General features: G+C 36.0%; 1 protein-coding gene across 21 annotated transcripts in view; it reads right to left on the bottom strand.

Moving 5' to 3' along the window:
• The window catches only part of NAALADL2 (N-acetylated alpha-linked acidic dipeptidase like 2), a 1,369,567-nt gene that overhangs the window by 8,154 nt on the left and 1,344,299 nt on the right, over window positions 1-17,114 (bottom strand). The window lies entirely within an intron of this gene.

Raw genomic sequence — 17,114 nt, 5'->3', positions numbered from 1 at the left:
GTAAAAACCAAAAATGTTTCTAAATATTGACAAAATATCCATAACAGAGCAAAATTGTCCCCCCCCAAAAAAAAATCAATCACAAAGCATAGACCTTACTAGACTTGTATTTAAACAGTTTAAAATATGAGAAGTAGTGCAAAACTGAACACTGACTATTGGGTGATATTAGGTAATTGCAAATATTTTAGATGTGATAATGGTATCATCAATGTTTTCTAAAAGTGCTCTTATCACTTTAGAAAATTAATACACACTGTAATATTTGCAAATGAAATGTTATTATGTCTGGAATTTGCTTCAGATATTTGGAGGGCAGATGAGAGAGTGGAGCTACAGACAGTATAGAGGCAACACAGTTGACCATTAGTTAATAATTGTTGAAACTGGGTAATATAATTCATTACACTGTTCTCTCTTCTTTTATATATGTTTGACATCTAGAATACCATCTTCTCACAAGTGTGGAATGCATAATAAGATAGTGCCCTGTAACTTAGTCAAATTGCTGAGAAGGAGAAATTTGATTTGGGAAAGTCTAAAACAGTCCCCTTTATACATTCATAGATACAAATAGATGCATTTTGTTAGAAAGCTATGAATTATTGCATCATTGTCTTATTTCGAACCCAAACTAGCTGAAATCTCGTGGTCTAATAAGGGAGGCAAACAGGTAAATAACTTAAATACATTTTTCTAATTGTTATAGTAGAGATGTAAGGTCTAGTTATAACAGATGATATATTGCTACTGGGAAAGGTCTAAAAAAGGTCTAAATGGAGAATATTTAAATTGCATCTTGAAAGATGAGGGGAGCTGCCAGTTACAAAAGTTTAGGAAAGTAAAAAAGCTAAAAGAGATGAAGACAGGACAGCATCCTATGCAGAAGGAATGGCATAAGCAAAGACACAAAATTATAGAACAGCATGATATCCTTAGTGAAATCCATGTTAGCATTTTTGTAAGATCAGAGTATAGGGCCAGACTGGGCAATGATAGGAGCAGACATGGGAGAACAAGCCATAGTCATATCATACAGGGCCTGGTAAACCAAGGTAAAAAGATTAAACTTGTTCCTATAAGCAATAGGAAACCAGCAAAAGGATGTAAGCAAGAAAGAAAGGTGATTATATTTCATTTTGGAATAATTATGTTGGTTGTAATGTAGAGCCTGGAGAACAGAAGACCACTTAGTCCAGATGAAAGGTGACAAAGACTTAAATTACACAGTGATGACTGAGTTTGAAAAGATGGAATCAGGGCCACAGCACAAAATTTATTAATTTATACTTTTCTCTAGCACCAGCATCAACTTGATTGAGTTCTTGATCACCATTTCCTCTCAGCAATGCTTCACTGTCTCAGCCTTGCCAGCACTTTTCACCACATACTCTGTAGGGATTAATGGGGAGTGAAATCTACCTAATGCCCTAAGCCAGAACCCTGTAAGTCATTCGCTTTCCTTACATGTCCAATCGGCTTCTGATATTCATTTATCCATCTCTGTCTTATCTGTTGTGATATCCTAATCCCTATTTTCAAGAATATGTTATGATCTCATTGCTTTACACTTCAGAGTGAAGAACATGTTACTTCTGTATCAAGTCTAATTCAGTGCTGTGAGGCTAGGAGGTCTTTAGTCATGGTGATTTAACTTAGTTAAATTTTTATCTGGCTTAGTTCAGTGCTGGGAACTCAGTAGACCCTCAATAATGTTGGTATAAGGTATATCAATTCAGCTTATTTTGGATTTTAAGCCATAATTCATTGAAGAACAGTCGATTTTGTATCTTTGGAGAGAAATTTCTGTTGAAAATGAGTACATGATGAGGGGTGGTGGGAAAAGAGGATTCTTGAATAGAGAGATTATTTCAATGATTTTGTTCAAGACAGAAAAATTTAAATGGGAACTATCTCTAATAGTCCAATATCCTTTATCATCATGCTTATGAGTAAACTTAGCATTGTATTAAGAAAATAGAGCAGTGCAAGAAAGATACTCTCAAAATTCTGAATATTCTTGAATTCAGGTTTATAGTTTGTATTAAGAAAAATATATTCCCTGAATATGGGAGGGAGAAAATTACCTCCCAGGTGGAGTAGCAAGAGGGTTGTGAGCAATGCTCTGGTATAAGGTCTTGTGGAGTGTAGAAGCTCTGTAGCCCAAGGAGCACGTAAAAGAGGGATAGAACTGCCTCTGGCACTGGGAACAACTCCACCTGCCTCATCACCAACACTGCTGGCTTGATCCACATTGTGGTCACCTGGCCTGGGAAATGCACAATCTATGCCCATACACACAACTGCTCCAGGCCTCTGTTACAGATGAGAAATATGCAATCTGGGAATAAACTATATATTCAATAAATAAATATAAAATTGATTCATCATCCAGTACCAGGAAATGTTAGATTCCCCTGTATACTCGGAAAATTTTGTCTCTACTTCCAGGCGCAGAACATTCTTTAAAGCAGACATTTTCCCTTTGCTATTCTCCAAGTATTCTTAACATTAAAGCGATTTTCAGAAGAAGCCATATCAACCATGCGAATGTAATCAAGTAAGAGATTATTTATGTATGTACATAAATACATATGTATACATGTATTTTTATACAGAGAACTTTTGAAAATGTTTTGATGATATCTCAAAATGACTTAAATAGTGAGAATTAGTGAAATACTTATTGAAAGTTTCCCTAAATATTAGTTTTATTTCATAAAAATGAGAAACCAAATAATTTTAGAGAAACTTTGACTGAACTGTAGAATTGTTCAAAATGGAGATGAAACTGCCTGGAATATTTTTGTACGTGACAGAACCTATACAAAAGTTAGTTTTTTCAGGCTAACATAAGCTTTCTTGTCATTTAGGAAAAAGACTTGGCTTCTGGTGCCAGGATACATATCAAACATATTTACATTCATAATCTACTATTCAAACAAACATAAATATAAATGGATATATATATGTATTCATATACAAATGATGAAAAAGTCATTTAGTAATCAAGATATTTTAAAGATAAAAATGGATTAAAAATATTTTAATTATTCAGCTATGTAAAAAATACTGCTTTGTAGACAACCTATACTGCTTTACTAAAAGAATAAACTACTATAATTAAAAAATTAATCATTTTTCATAATATTTACAGTTTTGAATTCTCTTCCTTCACTTTATGAGTTTCATGTTTAATTATGAATCATTAAATGGCAAACATATTTCCAGAATTTAAGAGAGAGTACAATCGATATTTTTAAAATTGTATCAAACATTTTATCTCCATACCTTGAGGACAAATTGTTTAGTATGCTGACAAACAAAAATATTATAATCCATTATTATCAAAAACTATTCCTTAAATGAGTTGTAACATTGCAACTAGTATATTATGGGGGGCATGTTTAAAGATTCTTAGACTGTTATAATGACTTTTCCCCATCTGCAAAACCCAATGGCATGAAGTACATTTCTACCTATACATTATGTGCTTATTGAATGTTAAATATCCATATTCAATTTAATGATAAGATGTTATTAATAAAATATGCTCATAAAAGTTACAGATTAATCCTGTGATGGCAATTCACATAAGCATGAACAGTATCTAATATATTTTTGTAAAATGTGTCAATAACTACCATAAAATATCTGGAAGAGGTATAATGTAGAAGAATAAAAATACATCCTAAAAAAATGTTCAGGTCTAAAACACAAGAAATTAGAATGATTACTGTTTTAGAACTGAAAATCAATACATACATTTCCTAAAGGCCAATGCAATGGAATGGGGAGTATGCCAACACTTGCTTCTCCTAACTAGTAAGCAACATAGTAACATGCTTTTATAATGACTGTAAACAAGCCCTATGAGCAGAAATGGATCTTTTTTTAGTTTGTGAAATTCTGCAAGTAGCTAAACACATTTTCCATATGCTACATGATTCAAGTAGTAGGCTTGTGGCAAGCTATTATGGAAGATAAACACTCATACCCATTTCTACTCAAATTGGATACAAATCAGCATAAAGCTAAGATACTGAGATTCTAGTAGAATATAAGTGACTGAGATTTTTTCATCATCATTTAAAAAAACCTTCATTTTGGGTAGCTTCTGATGTTACTTAAGTTAGATGATCTTTATTATAATAGTAGAAATACGTTTTTTCACCCAGATAAATTGTATTACCTTAAAAACAAATCGGGGCTAGCAAAAATATCTTCTTTAAATTTGCATGAGAAAGATCATTTCTCCTACTGATTTTCAGAATTAGCTCATCTTTTGCAGTTTTTTTTGTGTGCTGAAAACCACTTAGCTTCCTGCTTACATAAAATAAATTTCTGCATTTTGAATCATTTATGAAAATATAGCATTATATTACTTTTAATACTTAAATGGAAGGTTAAAACAAAATCATGTTTTTACATGTTATCACATATGTTCTCATGTATTTCTTGGCTCTGAGAACTTTTACATATTCAATCATTAATCCTAAGTACTCTCAGAATCATCTCTTGACAGCAAAACCAGTATTATACCATTTTAATATGCAAATGCTTCTTGTTTGTGGATATTTCAATTAGATCAATACTCTTATGGAAGCTTCTAATTCAAAAGCTCTTTGAATTCCCATGTAATGTCACTAAAATTGAATTGGTCAAACAGAGTTAAAAGATATTAACAACAAACACTATATCAGAGTGCCTAAGTGTGTCCCTCCTCCATTATAGACCCATTTTTCAGATTGGGAAAGACTAGGAACTGACCAATAGCCAGTCAAAAGGCACATGTCTGGCAGAAAAAATACAGTGGAAAGAAAGTGAGAATATATTTTGAGAGTTTCCATATTAAAAGTCTGTCCTTTACAACCACAAGGACTCATATTCCTTAGTGAATCATTCCTGCTCTTCAATACACCTGCTTTAGTCCAATTTAGAAAAGTTTCCCTGCAGGAAGAATAGATTGTGTTAGCATAGATCTAATTCAATAAATCACTATCTTATTTGCATACACAGAACATGTATCTTAGAATGGCATGTAGAGACATCAGACCTAATTAAAATATTATTTAATTGAAATCATTTTAGTAGTTATCATGTGTAAAATAACATTAATTCCACCCTCATGCCTATCTTCCCTCATCTGTAACAATTTGGATCTTATAAATGTAATTCATACAGTTATCCTGACCCACACACAACATAAAGAGACTACTAAAGGAAAGTGTAATATATTATTGATGACACTAATGAAATTACAACACACATCACTCATTATAGTGAGCCTGTTTCAATGACACATCATGGTGACCAGGAAAGAACAGCGCCAAACTCAGAAACCTAATTAACAACTCCAGGTGGTATCAGTGAAGGAGATGAAATATCTTTACTCAACTGACAAATCTTTTCCTCTTAACTAAAGCAAAAGAAAACTGAAAAAAAAAAAGCCATGAATTTTTAAACAAAGGCAACTAAAATCTTCATAAGTCATTTCCATGTGTTTGAATTAGAAAATTAATGATGGAAATAATGACTCTTTTTCAAATGTTCCTTCTTATATTCATAAATGGGCACAGGATGCCATCCATTGTAAGCCTGAATTAACATTCATTATACCCCATGTTGAGAAACTCCTAAATGAAATCACACTAAATAATAAGTCATGTCTTTCAAAACTGACTGGGTATACATGCTGAATGCAGAGAGAAAAGTTCAGCTAAATTTCATACAATTGTTGCTATTTCTTTTAGGGATTATACTAACTGTACTCCATAGTTAACAGTAGATTACTGTATTTATATCAACATTAGAGGAGATTATTTTACTTCGATACTACGTCCATGAGAATGCACAAAGTGCATGGCTACACTATTTATACTACACATATCCTTTGAGCTAAATTTGAATTTGTTCTATACTAGCAAAAGCAGAATGAGAATTAAGACTTTGTTGATATTGTTAAGCCATAAACTCACTCTGCAGACAACTGAGGCACAAAGACACGTGTGGTAGATTGTTGAGGGAAATGGCTGCAATTATTTTCCTCTGTGTGTGGAGACTCCTTTAAAATAAGACTTTGCAGCTCATTCCATCAAGAGGCACAGACTACTTCTCTACCTCTTGAATTTGGTTTGGGCCTTGACCAACAGAATATAGCATATGTAGAAAGCCCATGTCTCAAAATCTCCTGTATGCTGCTTTCTCTCTCCTTCCCCTCCCCACAGTTTTGGCAAGCTACCATGCTGCTTCTCTCTCTCTCTCCCAACCCCCCACCCACCCTGCCTCTCCCCCACTCTCCCCCACTCTCTCTCCTTCTCCCTCCCTCCCTGCCAAACCACCATGTTACCAATAAGAACAATAAGGGGTTAGTTAGCCTGCTGGAAGAGGAAATAACACAAGGATCTGGTCAGTAGAGGTTTTCCTTTACTAGCTAGCCCCAAGACAACTTCACAGCAGAGGCACTGGTTGCAGACATAAATACAGATAACAAGACCCAGCCCAGCCACAACCAGAAGAACCACCCAGCTAAGTAAAGCTTAAAGGGCATATTGAAGAATAACAGAAAAAATAGTTATTTTTTTAAGCCATTAGATTTTGAGGTGATTTTCAATGAGGCAATACATAATTTATAAAATTTGGTAGCATTTTTCTTCCCATGAGAATCTGTTCTTTTTTATTTATTTTATTTTATTTTATTTTTTTATTTTTTGAGACAGAGTCTCGCTATGTTGCCCAGGCTGGAGTGCAGTGGCACAATCTCTGCTCACTGCAAGCTCCGCCTCCCAGGTTCACACCATTCTCCTGCCTCTGCCCCTTGAGTAGCTGGGACTACAGGCACCCGCCACCACGCCCAGCTAATTTTTTTTTTTTTTTGTATTTTTTAGTAGAGACGGGGTTTCACTGTATTAGCCAGAATGGTCTCAATATCCTGACCTCGTGATCCACTTACCTCGGTCTCCCAAAATGCTGGGATTACAGGCATGAGCCATCGCGCCCATTGACAGAGTACAATATGGATTTGACAATTCTTAAATGACTAGCTAAATTCAGGAGATATCATTAGTAAATCATGCCAAACAGTCCCCATGAGGTATGCATTACAAAGTTAGGATATCTGTACTGATTTATTAAAAGTTTAAAAATCTGTTCACAGAGTGACAGATGGAATTTTCACATAAAACAGAAACCAAAGTCAACCATTGTTATAGACTGAATGTTTGTGTTCCTGCTCCAAATGCACACACTGAAGCCTTAGGCCCTGCAGGTGGGATGATATTAGGAAGTGGAGCCTTGGGGGTAATTAAGTTTGGATACGGTCATGAGGGTAGAGCCCCCAGGATGGGATTAGTGCCTTTATATGAAGAGGAAGAGGTACCAGAGCTTCCTCGCTCTACCATGTGAGGATGCAGCAGGAAGGCAGCCACTGACAAGCCAGCCAGAGTACCCGCTCCAGAACCGGGCCAGGCTGGCACCCTGATCTTGAACTTCCCAGTCCTGAGAACTGTGAGAAATAAATGTCTGTTGTTTAAGCCACCCAGTCTATAGTATGTTGTCTCAGGCAGCCTGAGTTGACTATGAAAACCATCACAGCATAATTTTTTTAAATATGAATTATCATCTTGAAGAGATATAACCCAAGAAATAGATAAAAGTGTCTGTTTGCATTTATAATTAAAATATAAAATAGAGCAGAGGACTGTAGAGGGAGTAAACAACTGTGTTCTTTTGCAGTTACTGTCAAGAGTTCTCAGTCCATCTAACTATAACTACACTGTTTTTCAAGAGAAATTTCCTGAGTAAGAAGTTATCTTTTAGGATATTCAAGTAAGACTCCCATTCCACTGCACAGTGCTCGATAGTTTAACAATAAAGAAAACTTATATTTTTGTATTAAAAAACCTCCTACTAATTCAAAAACAAGACTAAAATCAAATGAAGTTAACACAATCCTTAGTGCCTTTCAGAATTTGGAGAAGACAGTGATACAGTTGACTACTTTTTTTTTTTCCACACTCATTTAATTGGTTTCTTGTTTTTATTTATATTTCATCGCGACCATTTTCTTTCATCTTATCTCTATGTATGAACTCAAACTCAATATTTAGATAACTTTTCTTTCTTTACTTATTTGGAACTCATTATCTCTTAGTATTTCAGCTTCCACTCAGTAGGTAGAACCTGTCAACCTCCAAAGACAATTTTATTTGAATACCCTACAGGCTTTTGACAATTAATATAAAGATGCATTTCGTTTCATCTGCACTCCAGATATTTGCATTGTCCTTTTTCCATTGTTCTTTAGTTACCTCCATTACCTCTGGCAAACAGTAATGGTCAGGTCACAAAACGAAACAAAATAGGTAATTCAGCTTTATTTTTTTCATTTATTTTTCTGATTCTAATAATGAGAAGGATGTGGACTATGTGTTTTGAAGTTCACTCTAAAGCCAAAAGTTTGCCATTTAAGCTGCATCTATTTAAACAAAGTGAGTAATTCAGCCAGTATTGATGTTTTTCCGCTTATTCTACTGAACAGCCTTTATTAAACATCTAATATGAGTAAGTCACTGTGTTAGTTGCTTAGGGATAGAAACTAGAAGTTTACAGTCTAGGTTGGAAGCCAAACGTGATGAATAAATCAAAATATTATTTTGAACTTATTGTTTGTATAATACTTTAATAAATACTATATGGTATGAGGTTATTTAATTTTATGTTTTATAAAATTTTTCACTTTATTCTATATTTATATTAGATGGTTAGAAAATGCTGCTTTGGGCCAGGTGCAGTGGCTCACGCCTGTAATCCCAGCACTTCAGGAGGCCGAGGTCGGCAGATCACGAGGTCAGGAGATTGAGGCCATTCTGGCTAACACGGTGTAACCCCGTCTCTACTAAATATACAAAAAAAAAAAATTAGCCGGGCGCGGTGGCGGGTGCCTGTAGTCCCAGCTACTCGGGAGGGTGAGGCAGGAGAATGGCGTGAACACGGGTGGCCGAGCTTGCAGTGAGCCAAGATCGTGCCCACTACACTCCAGCCCAGGCGACAGAGAGAGACTCCGTCTCGAAAAAAAAAAAAAAAAAAGAAAGAAAATGCTGTTTTGTTATAAAGTTTTTTTTGAATCTTGCCTCTCTATGTCATATACTGTTCATTGTCACGTAGTACAAAGTCTAAAAATATTCTATGCAGTGCTCACTGTGTGCTTTATTGTTTAGGAGAAAAGTTCCAGAGGTAGTTCCCCATGGTATGAATTTAACTTGGGTTATCTGATCTCAATTGTCATAATGTTGATTCAAGTAACACAGTCCTAATTAAGCAAAAGGTAATTCTTTCACCAGATTATTTCAGAAATAGGTATGTGACCAAATGTTGGCACGTACATTTGAGAGGAAGTTTCCTGCAGGATTCTAAAAGCAGTAGTCCTTGGATTTCTGAAAGAACCAGCAAAAGCTAATCCACTTTTTTCTTTTGAAAAGTATGGGTTATGGATATGAAATCTATACATGCCACATCTTCTTTTACCCCACCAGGAGGAAATCAGTCTTAAGATGAGCTTATACTACGGAAGGCAGAGCTGAGAGACTGAAAGAAACTTATTCCTTGATGACGTGATTGCAATACTGCATCGATCCAACCTAACATCTGCACTTCCTCTTGATTTTCAATTACGTCAGTTAAGCCAATGTGAGTACGGCTTTGTGTTCTTTTCAATCAAATATATCCAGATATACTATACTTGATTACTTACTGTAGTTATGAAAAACACATAGACATTCTCTTTTACAATTATAGATATAGTTTTCTTTGACCTAAAGAATTTAGATAATTCATTTAGTTGACATCTGAAAATGATTGCCTTAGGGTCAAAAATGCATGGTTTCTCTTGAATAGTAAGTATTCAAGATGATTTGAACACTTCAAAATCAACAAAACATTGTAATGTTTGCTTAATTTTAGCTAGAATGAAAAGTAAGTACAAAGTGCAGCAATTGACCTACTGAATCTATGAATGTTGATCACAAAGCTTGAGGTATTAATGAAAGAATGATTTAATGTTAATTACAAAAACTAGAAACATCACATTTAATATTTTTAAGAATTGTTACAGAAGTTAACACAATAAATATTAACTTTGAAAATGTGACAAAAATTAATGCTTTAAAGGAGCACTTTGGTACTTTTTCTTAGCTGAGTAAATTTCCTCACAGTTTATTCGTGTGTCACTATTTGCAACAACTTTTGCTGCCACAAGGAAATGAAAATGTTGTGGTTTTAATTTGTAAACAAATGGACACAAAAACAAACAACATATTACACAATTTTTTAAAAAGTAAAATCATCTCATTTCAAAGTACCATTTATTTTTTTTTAAATGCAAGTACTAGACAGGCATTTTTAGTGATTATGTTAAAGTTAATTGTGAAAAGAATTTCCAAGTTGTGAGTAAATAGTAGAAATATCAGGGTTGTTTTTTTTTTTTGCTTTGGGAACTCTAAAAGCAAATTCCACACTGTCAGCTGTGAATATTAGAGGGTTGAAGAGGGTCCTCAGGTATGCAGCACAAAATAGGTGTGCTGCATGTACAATTTAAGAAAAAAATAAATTTATTGAAAAAATATACTGTATATATATTTTATATACAATATACTATATGTAACAGTTTACAGAAATGATAGAAGACATTGAGAATGAAGCAGTAACCAAGGGAAACTAGGTATAAGGATATTTCCAAGATCCCATTATAGAAATAGTCAGTTTAGGACATCAATGTTTGAGATACCCCCACTGCCACCATTGCATTGGGAACACTCCTCTGTCATGACAGTCTTGCTGCCTCTACTTCTGCTCTGCCACTGACAGAGTTTGTCCACAACAAGAGTGAATAATGTTGAACTGTCCCAATGTCTTGGTTTCTCTTCTTTCAGATGTAAAGTCCTGGGAGGGGTCATCCAATTAGCTAAGCTTAGGGCACATGCCTTTACCCTAGCTCAAATACAAATATCTGGACCCTGATTCACCTTCTGTGGGGAGACATATGCCCTGCTTCCAGCTAAGCTCACAGGGGACTCACCCCATATAGAAAACAGGGTTTGATATCAGGCACTCAAAAATAAAATAAAATAAATTTTAAAAGAGCAATATCCACTACACTGGTAATAGAAAAGTGTATTTCCACAGGATTCTTTTAGAATTATCCTCTAGTTTGCTGCCCCGCTATATAGCACATTTTTCCCCTCATATTAAATATTAGCAAGTATTCTACAATGTTCTAGGAATCATTACCAAATTTAATGTGCATGAGAATAACCTGCGAAACTTTTAAAGGTGCTTAAGAGATTCAGATGCAATGGAACTGAGATGCTTTATTTGAGTCTGTATTTTTTCCCAGCTCCCTAACAGAAACCTAATGCATGACACCCACATAAATTCAACAATTCCTCCAGTGAGTTTTACATATACAAAGATGTCTTGTTTTGTTCCCAAACTAGTTTCTTCTGGTTACATGTGTAATTATATACAAAATTACATGATTTAATTAGCATTATGTAAATAATGATAGTTTAAGTGTGAAAGAAAGAGTTATCTTTTTGAAAATGAACCTGAATGTTTTGGACAGACTTACACAGATTAATTGATGAAATTTGAAAGTGTTGTTCAAGTATATGTGGAGACATAACTGAAAAGATTATTAATAAGGGGAGGAAAGGAGTATAGTGACAAGGCAGAAAAAATCTGCATTGCAAGTGCCTATTTCTTGCTCCAAGGTGAGGAAACTGAAACTAGGAATCTTAGACGTTGCATCATATGTGTTGTTTAAACAAGAAAGTAAATCTAGAATTCCAATCCCCAGAACAATACTCAAAGAAAAGTTCTTTGTCTTATACCAAAAGATTGATAATGAGTGTTTCAGTTAAAATAAATAAAATGCTTTTTCAAGCATCTAAACATCTACTGGCTCTGCTTGTGTCACATAAAAGAATGTTTATTCTAAAGGCAGTATTTAGTCAAAGCTACTCCTAAAAACTGAGAAGGCAAATAGGTATCATCTTGAGTTCCAACTCTCATGAACTGGTGGTAGTGACTTGAAGTACTAGATGAACAATGGATCTGGGGCCCCAAAAGAAAGAGATCTGTCATTACTCAGACTCCTGTTCACAGACCCTGCTTCACTGAAGATTATCTAGCCAATTTTATTGATTGATAGTAATGCATAGGTTTGTTGACATAATCAATGCATATATAAACCAAGTTATCAAAATGAAGAGAAAAAGGTCATAATTACTTGGTGTTGGTAATTAAGTTAGCCAATCCTAGTAAGTATTTTGAAATTTTGTATTCTAAGTCCCCTGCTTTTCCTGTTTATGAAATCTGAGATAACTAAATAATTGTTACATTTCCTTTCCTAGATGCTCTAGACTCTGTTGTCACTATGTGTTTAAACAATTGCCCAATCCATTATTAATTTATTAAATTATACTTAGGGAAAACAAAATGCATTTGTATTTTTTTATTAATAACTTTGAGTTTCATGGATGTTTAGCTCTTTTTGTAAGATGTGTGGTACTATCTGAAATACATACTAGTTTTTAAAGTAATTGACTTTATTCAGTGGGCTCAGTTCTATTAATATATATCCACCTTTTTTCTTGAAACTTAATATTTAACATATGCAGAAAATAATGCATGCAGTTCTTAACTGTACCCTTTGGAACTGTGGCCCTAAATAGAGAAGAATAAAAGTAATGGGTTCTTTGCACTGGACATCTTGATACAAGTCACCTTGACATTTTGTTCCATGCTTAATGAATGTTCTGGCAGGCATGCTAATCCAATAACCTGAAAACAACATTACTCAGTGAATTCTGAGCCATACAAAAGCCAAGACCTCAAGTAGTAGAATATGTTCTCAATTGAAATTATGTAAATGTCAGGTAGTCTGTGAGATGATTCTTCAATTGTATAAAATACATTAAGATGACTAAGTCATATGTGATGGTTAGATGATAGAATTTTGATACTTTTAACACAGAGAAGACATATACAAAAGAGTCTACATTTTAATACAAATAAAGTCGCAGAAACTCTCATCATATCTAAGAAAATTTAGAAAGAATTTTACAGTAGAAGTTGACAAAAATTAAGGAAAAATAATTACCTTGAGAGCTCATTCATCAAGTATTTATTAGGCACCTACTGCTATGTGGGATACAAAAGAATTACAAAAGCAATCTCAGTTCCAAAGGGATTGTTGAGTTTTCAGTTAATTTAAATGCGAGTGATTGAACAGTTTCAGAGTTATGGTCTTCTGCATATTTGGCTAATATACTTATAATAAAACAAAAGAAACTCTAAAGAAGTTAAGGAATTCCACCTATTTTTCTTGTTCATGAAGACCTTGAAATATAAATTAAATTTTGAATCATTTTGAATATTTTATCTTCCCTTCCTCAGAAAGAGATAATTTAGAGATGTTGGAGATCATTTGTAAAAATACCATGATATGCTAATAAAAATTTTAGTGGACATCGCAGCCTGTCATGTAAGTTTATATAGTTTTATTTTCCATAAATAATTATGTTTGATAATTCTTTGCCTTCATATAATTATTTGAGTAAGATTTCAACATTGTTTTCTAAGAAATATATTTATGTGACCATCTAGCCATGACTACTAGTACTAATGGCTAGCGCTTAAAATTAAACTACAGTCATATATTACTTAACTACAGGAATATGCTCTGATAAATGCATCATTATATGATTTCATTATTGTGCAAACATGTGATGGCATGTACTTACCCAAACATAGACGGTGTAGCCTACTACACACCTAGGCTTCATGGTATAGGTTATTGCTCCTCGGCTACAAACCTGTACAGTACAAACCTGCACTGTACTGAATACTGTAGGCAATTATAACACAATGGTAAATATTTGTATATATAAACACATCTAGACATAGAAAAGGCACACTAAAAGTACTCTATAAAAGATAAAAAATGGCTTGGCACAGTGGCTCACCCCTATAATCCTAGGACTTTGGGAGGCTGAGGTGGTGGATCGTTTGAGCTCAGGAGTTCCAGACCAGCCTGGGCAACATGACAAACCCCATCTTTACAAAATACACAAAAATTAGTTGAGCATAGTGGCACACACCTGTAGTCCCAGCTACTTGGGGGCTAAGTTGGGAGGATCACTTGAACCTGGGAGGTCAAGGATGCAGTGAGCCCAGATCATACCACTTGCACTCCTGCCTAGGTGACAAAGTGAGACCTTGTCTCAAAAAAAAAAAAAAAAAAAAAACAGGTAAAAAACTGTACACCTGTGTAAGGCACTTACCATGAATGAAGCTTGAAGGACTGGAAGTTTCTCTGTTTGAATCAGTGAGTGGTAAGAGAATGTGAAGCCCTAGGACATTACTATTATAGACTTCATTAACACTGTACACTTAGGCTATACTAAATTTATTTATAAAATAAAGTTTTATTTCTTCAATAATAAATTAGCCTTAGCTTATTGTAACTATTTTACTTTATGAACTTTGTAATTTTTAAAACTTTTGGACTCTTGTAATAACACAGCTTAAAACACATATTTTACTGCTGAAAAATATTTTCTTTTTTTTATATCTTTGTTCTAAAAGCGTTATGTTGTGGGGAGGAGCCAAGATGGCCGGATAGGAACAGCTCCGGTCTACAGCTCCCAGCGTGAGCGACGCAGAAGACGGGTGATTTCTGCATTTCCATCTGAGGTACCGGGTTCATCTCACTAGGGAGCGCCAGACAGTGGGCGCAGGTCAGTGGGTGCGCGCACCGTGCGCGAGCCGAAGCAGGGCGAGGCATTGCCTCACTTGGGAAGCGCAAGGGGTCAGGGAGTTCCCTTTCCGAGTCAAAGAAAGGGGTGACGGACGCACCTGGAAAATCGGGTCACTCCCATCCGAATATTGTGCTTTTCGGACCGGCTTAAAAAACGGCGCACCACAAGATTACATCCCGCACCTGGCTCGGAGGGTCCTACGCCCACGGAGTCTCACTGATTGCTAGCACAGCAGTCTGAGATCAAACTGCAAGGCAGCAGGAAGGCTGGGGGAGGGGCACCCGCCATTGCCCAGGCTTGATTAGGTAAACAAAGCAGCCGGGAAGCTCGAACTGGGTGGAGCCCACCACAGCTCAAGGAGGCCTGCCTGCCTCTGTAGGCTCCACCTCTGGGGGCAGGGCACAGACAAACAAAAAGACAGCAGTAACTTCTGCAGACTTAAATGTCCCTGTCTCACAGCTTTGAAGAGAGCAGTGGTTCTCCCAGCACACAGCTGGAGATCTGAGAACAGGCAGACTGCCTCCTCAAGTGGGTCCCTGACCCCTGACCAACAAGCAGCCTAACTGGGAGGCACCCCCCAGCAGGGGCACTCTGACACCTCACATGGCAGGGTATTCCAACAGACCTGCAGCTGAGGGTCCTGTCTGTTAGAAGGAAAACTAACAAACAGAAAGGACATCCACACCAAAAACCCATCTGTACATCACCATAATCAAAGACCAAAAGTAGATAAAACCACAAAGATGGGGAAAAAACAGAACAGAAAAACTGGAAACTCTAAAACGCAGAGCGCCTCTCCTCCTCCTCCTCCTCCTCCAAAGGAACGCAGTTCCTCACCAGCAACGGAACAAAGCTGGATGGAGAATGACTTTGACGAGATGAGAGAAGAAGGCTTCAGACGATCAAATTACTCTGAGCTACGAGAGGACATTCAAACCAAAGGCAAAGAAGTGGCAAACTTTGAAAAAAATTTAGAAGAATGTATAACTAGAATAACCAATACAGAGAAGTGCTTAAAGGAGCTGATGGAGCTGAAAACCAAGGCTCGAGAACTACGTGAAGAATGCAGAAGCCTCAGGAGCTGATGCGATCAACTGGAAGAAAGGGTATCAGCAATGGAAGATGAAATGAATGAAATGAAGGAGAAGGGAAGTTTAGAGAAAAAAGAGTAAAAAGCAATGAGCAAAGCCTCCAAGAAGTATGGGACTATGTGAAAAGACCAAATCTACATCTCATTGGTGTACCTGAAAGTGATGGGGAGAATGGAACCAAGTTGGAAAACACTTTGCAGGATATTATCCAGGAGAACTTCCCCAATCTAGCAAGGCAGGCCAAGGTTCAGATTCAGGAAATACAGAGAACGCCACAAAGATACTCCTCGAGAAGAGCAACTCCAAGACACATAATTGTCAGATTCACCAAAGTTGAAATGAAGGAAAAAATGTTAAGGGCAGCCAGAGAGAAAGGTTGGGTTACCCTCAAAGGGAAGCCCATCAGACTAACAGCGGATCTCTCGGCAGAAACCCTACAAGCCAGAAGAGAGTGGGGGCTGATATTCAACATTCTTAAAAGAATTTTCAACCCAGAATTTCATATCCAGCCAAACTAAGCTTCATAAGTGAAGGAGAAATAAAATACTTTACAGACAAGCAAATGCTGAGAGATTTTGTCACCACCAGGCCTGCCCTAAAAGAGCTCCTGAAGGAAGTGCTAAACACAGAAAGGAACAACCGGTACCAGCCACTGCAAAATCATGCCAAAATGTAAAGACCATCAAGACTAGGAAGAAACTGCATCAACTAACGAGCAAAATCACCAGCTAACATCATAATGACAGGATCAAATTCACACATAACAATATTAACTTTAAATGTAAATGGACTAAATGCTCCAATTAAAAGACACAGACTGGCAAATTGGATAAAGAGTCAAGACCCATCAGTGTGCTGTATTCAGGAAACCCATCTCACGTGCAGAGACACACACAGGCTCAAAATAAAAGGATGGAGGAAGATCTACCAAGCAAATGGAAAACAAAAAAAGGCAGGGGTTGCAATCCTAGTCTCTGATAAAACAGACTTTAAACCAACAAAGATCAAAAGAGACAAAGAAGGCCATTACATAATGGTAAAGGGATCAATTCAACAAGAAGAGCTAACTATCCTAAATATATATGCACCCAATACAGGAGCACCCAGATTCATAAAGCAAGTCCTGAGTGACCTACAAAGAGACTTAGACTCCCACACATTAATAATGGGAGACTTTAACACCCCACTGTCAACTTTAGACAGA

The sequence above is a fragment of the Homo sapiens genome, chromosome 3, assembly GCF_000001405.40.
Source record: "Homo sapiens chromosome 3, GRCh38.p14 Primary Assembly".
Taxonomy (NCBI): Eukaryota; Metazoa; Chordata; class Mammalia; order Primates; family Hominidae; genus Homo; species Homo sapiens.
Note: the sequence above shows the minus strand (reverse complement) of the source record. Positions and strands in the feature narration are given on the sequence as shown.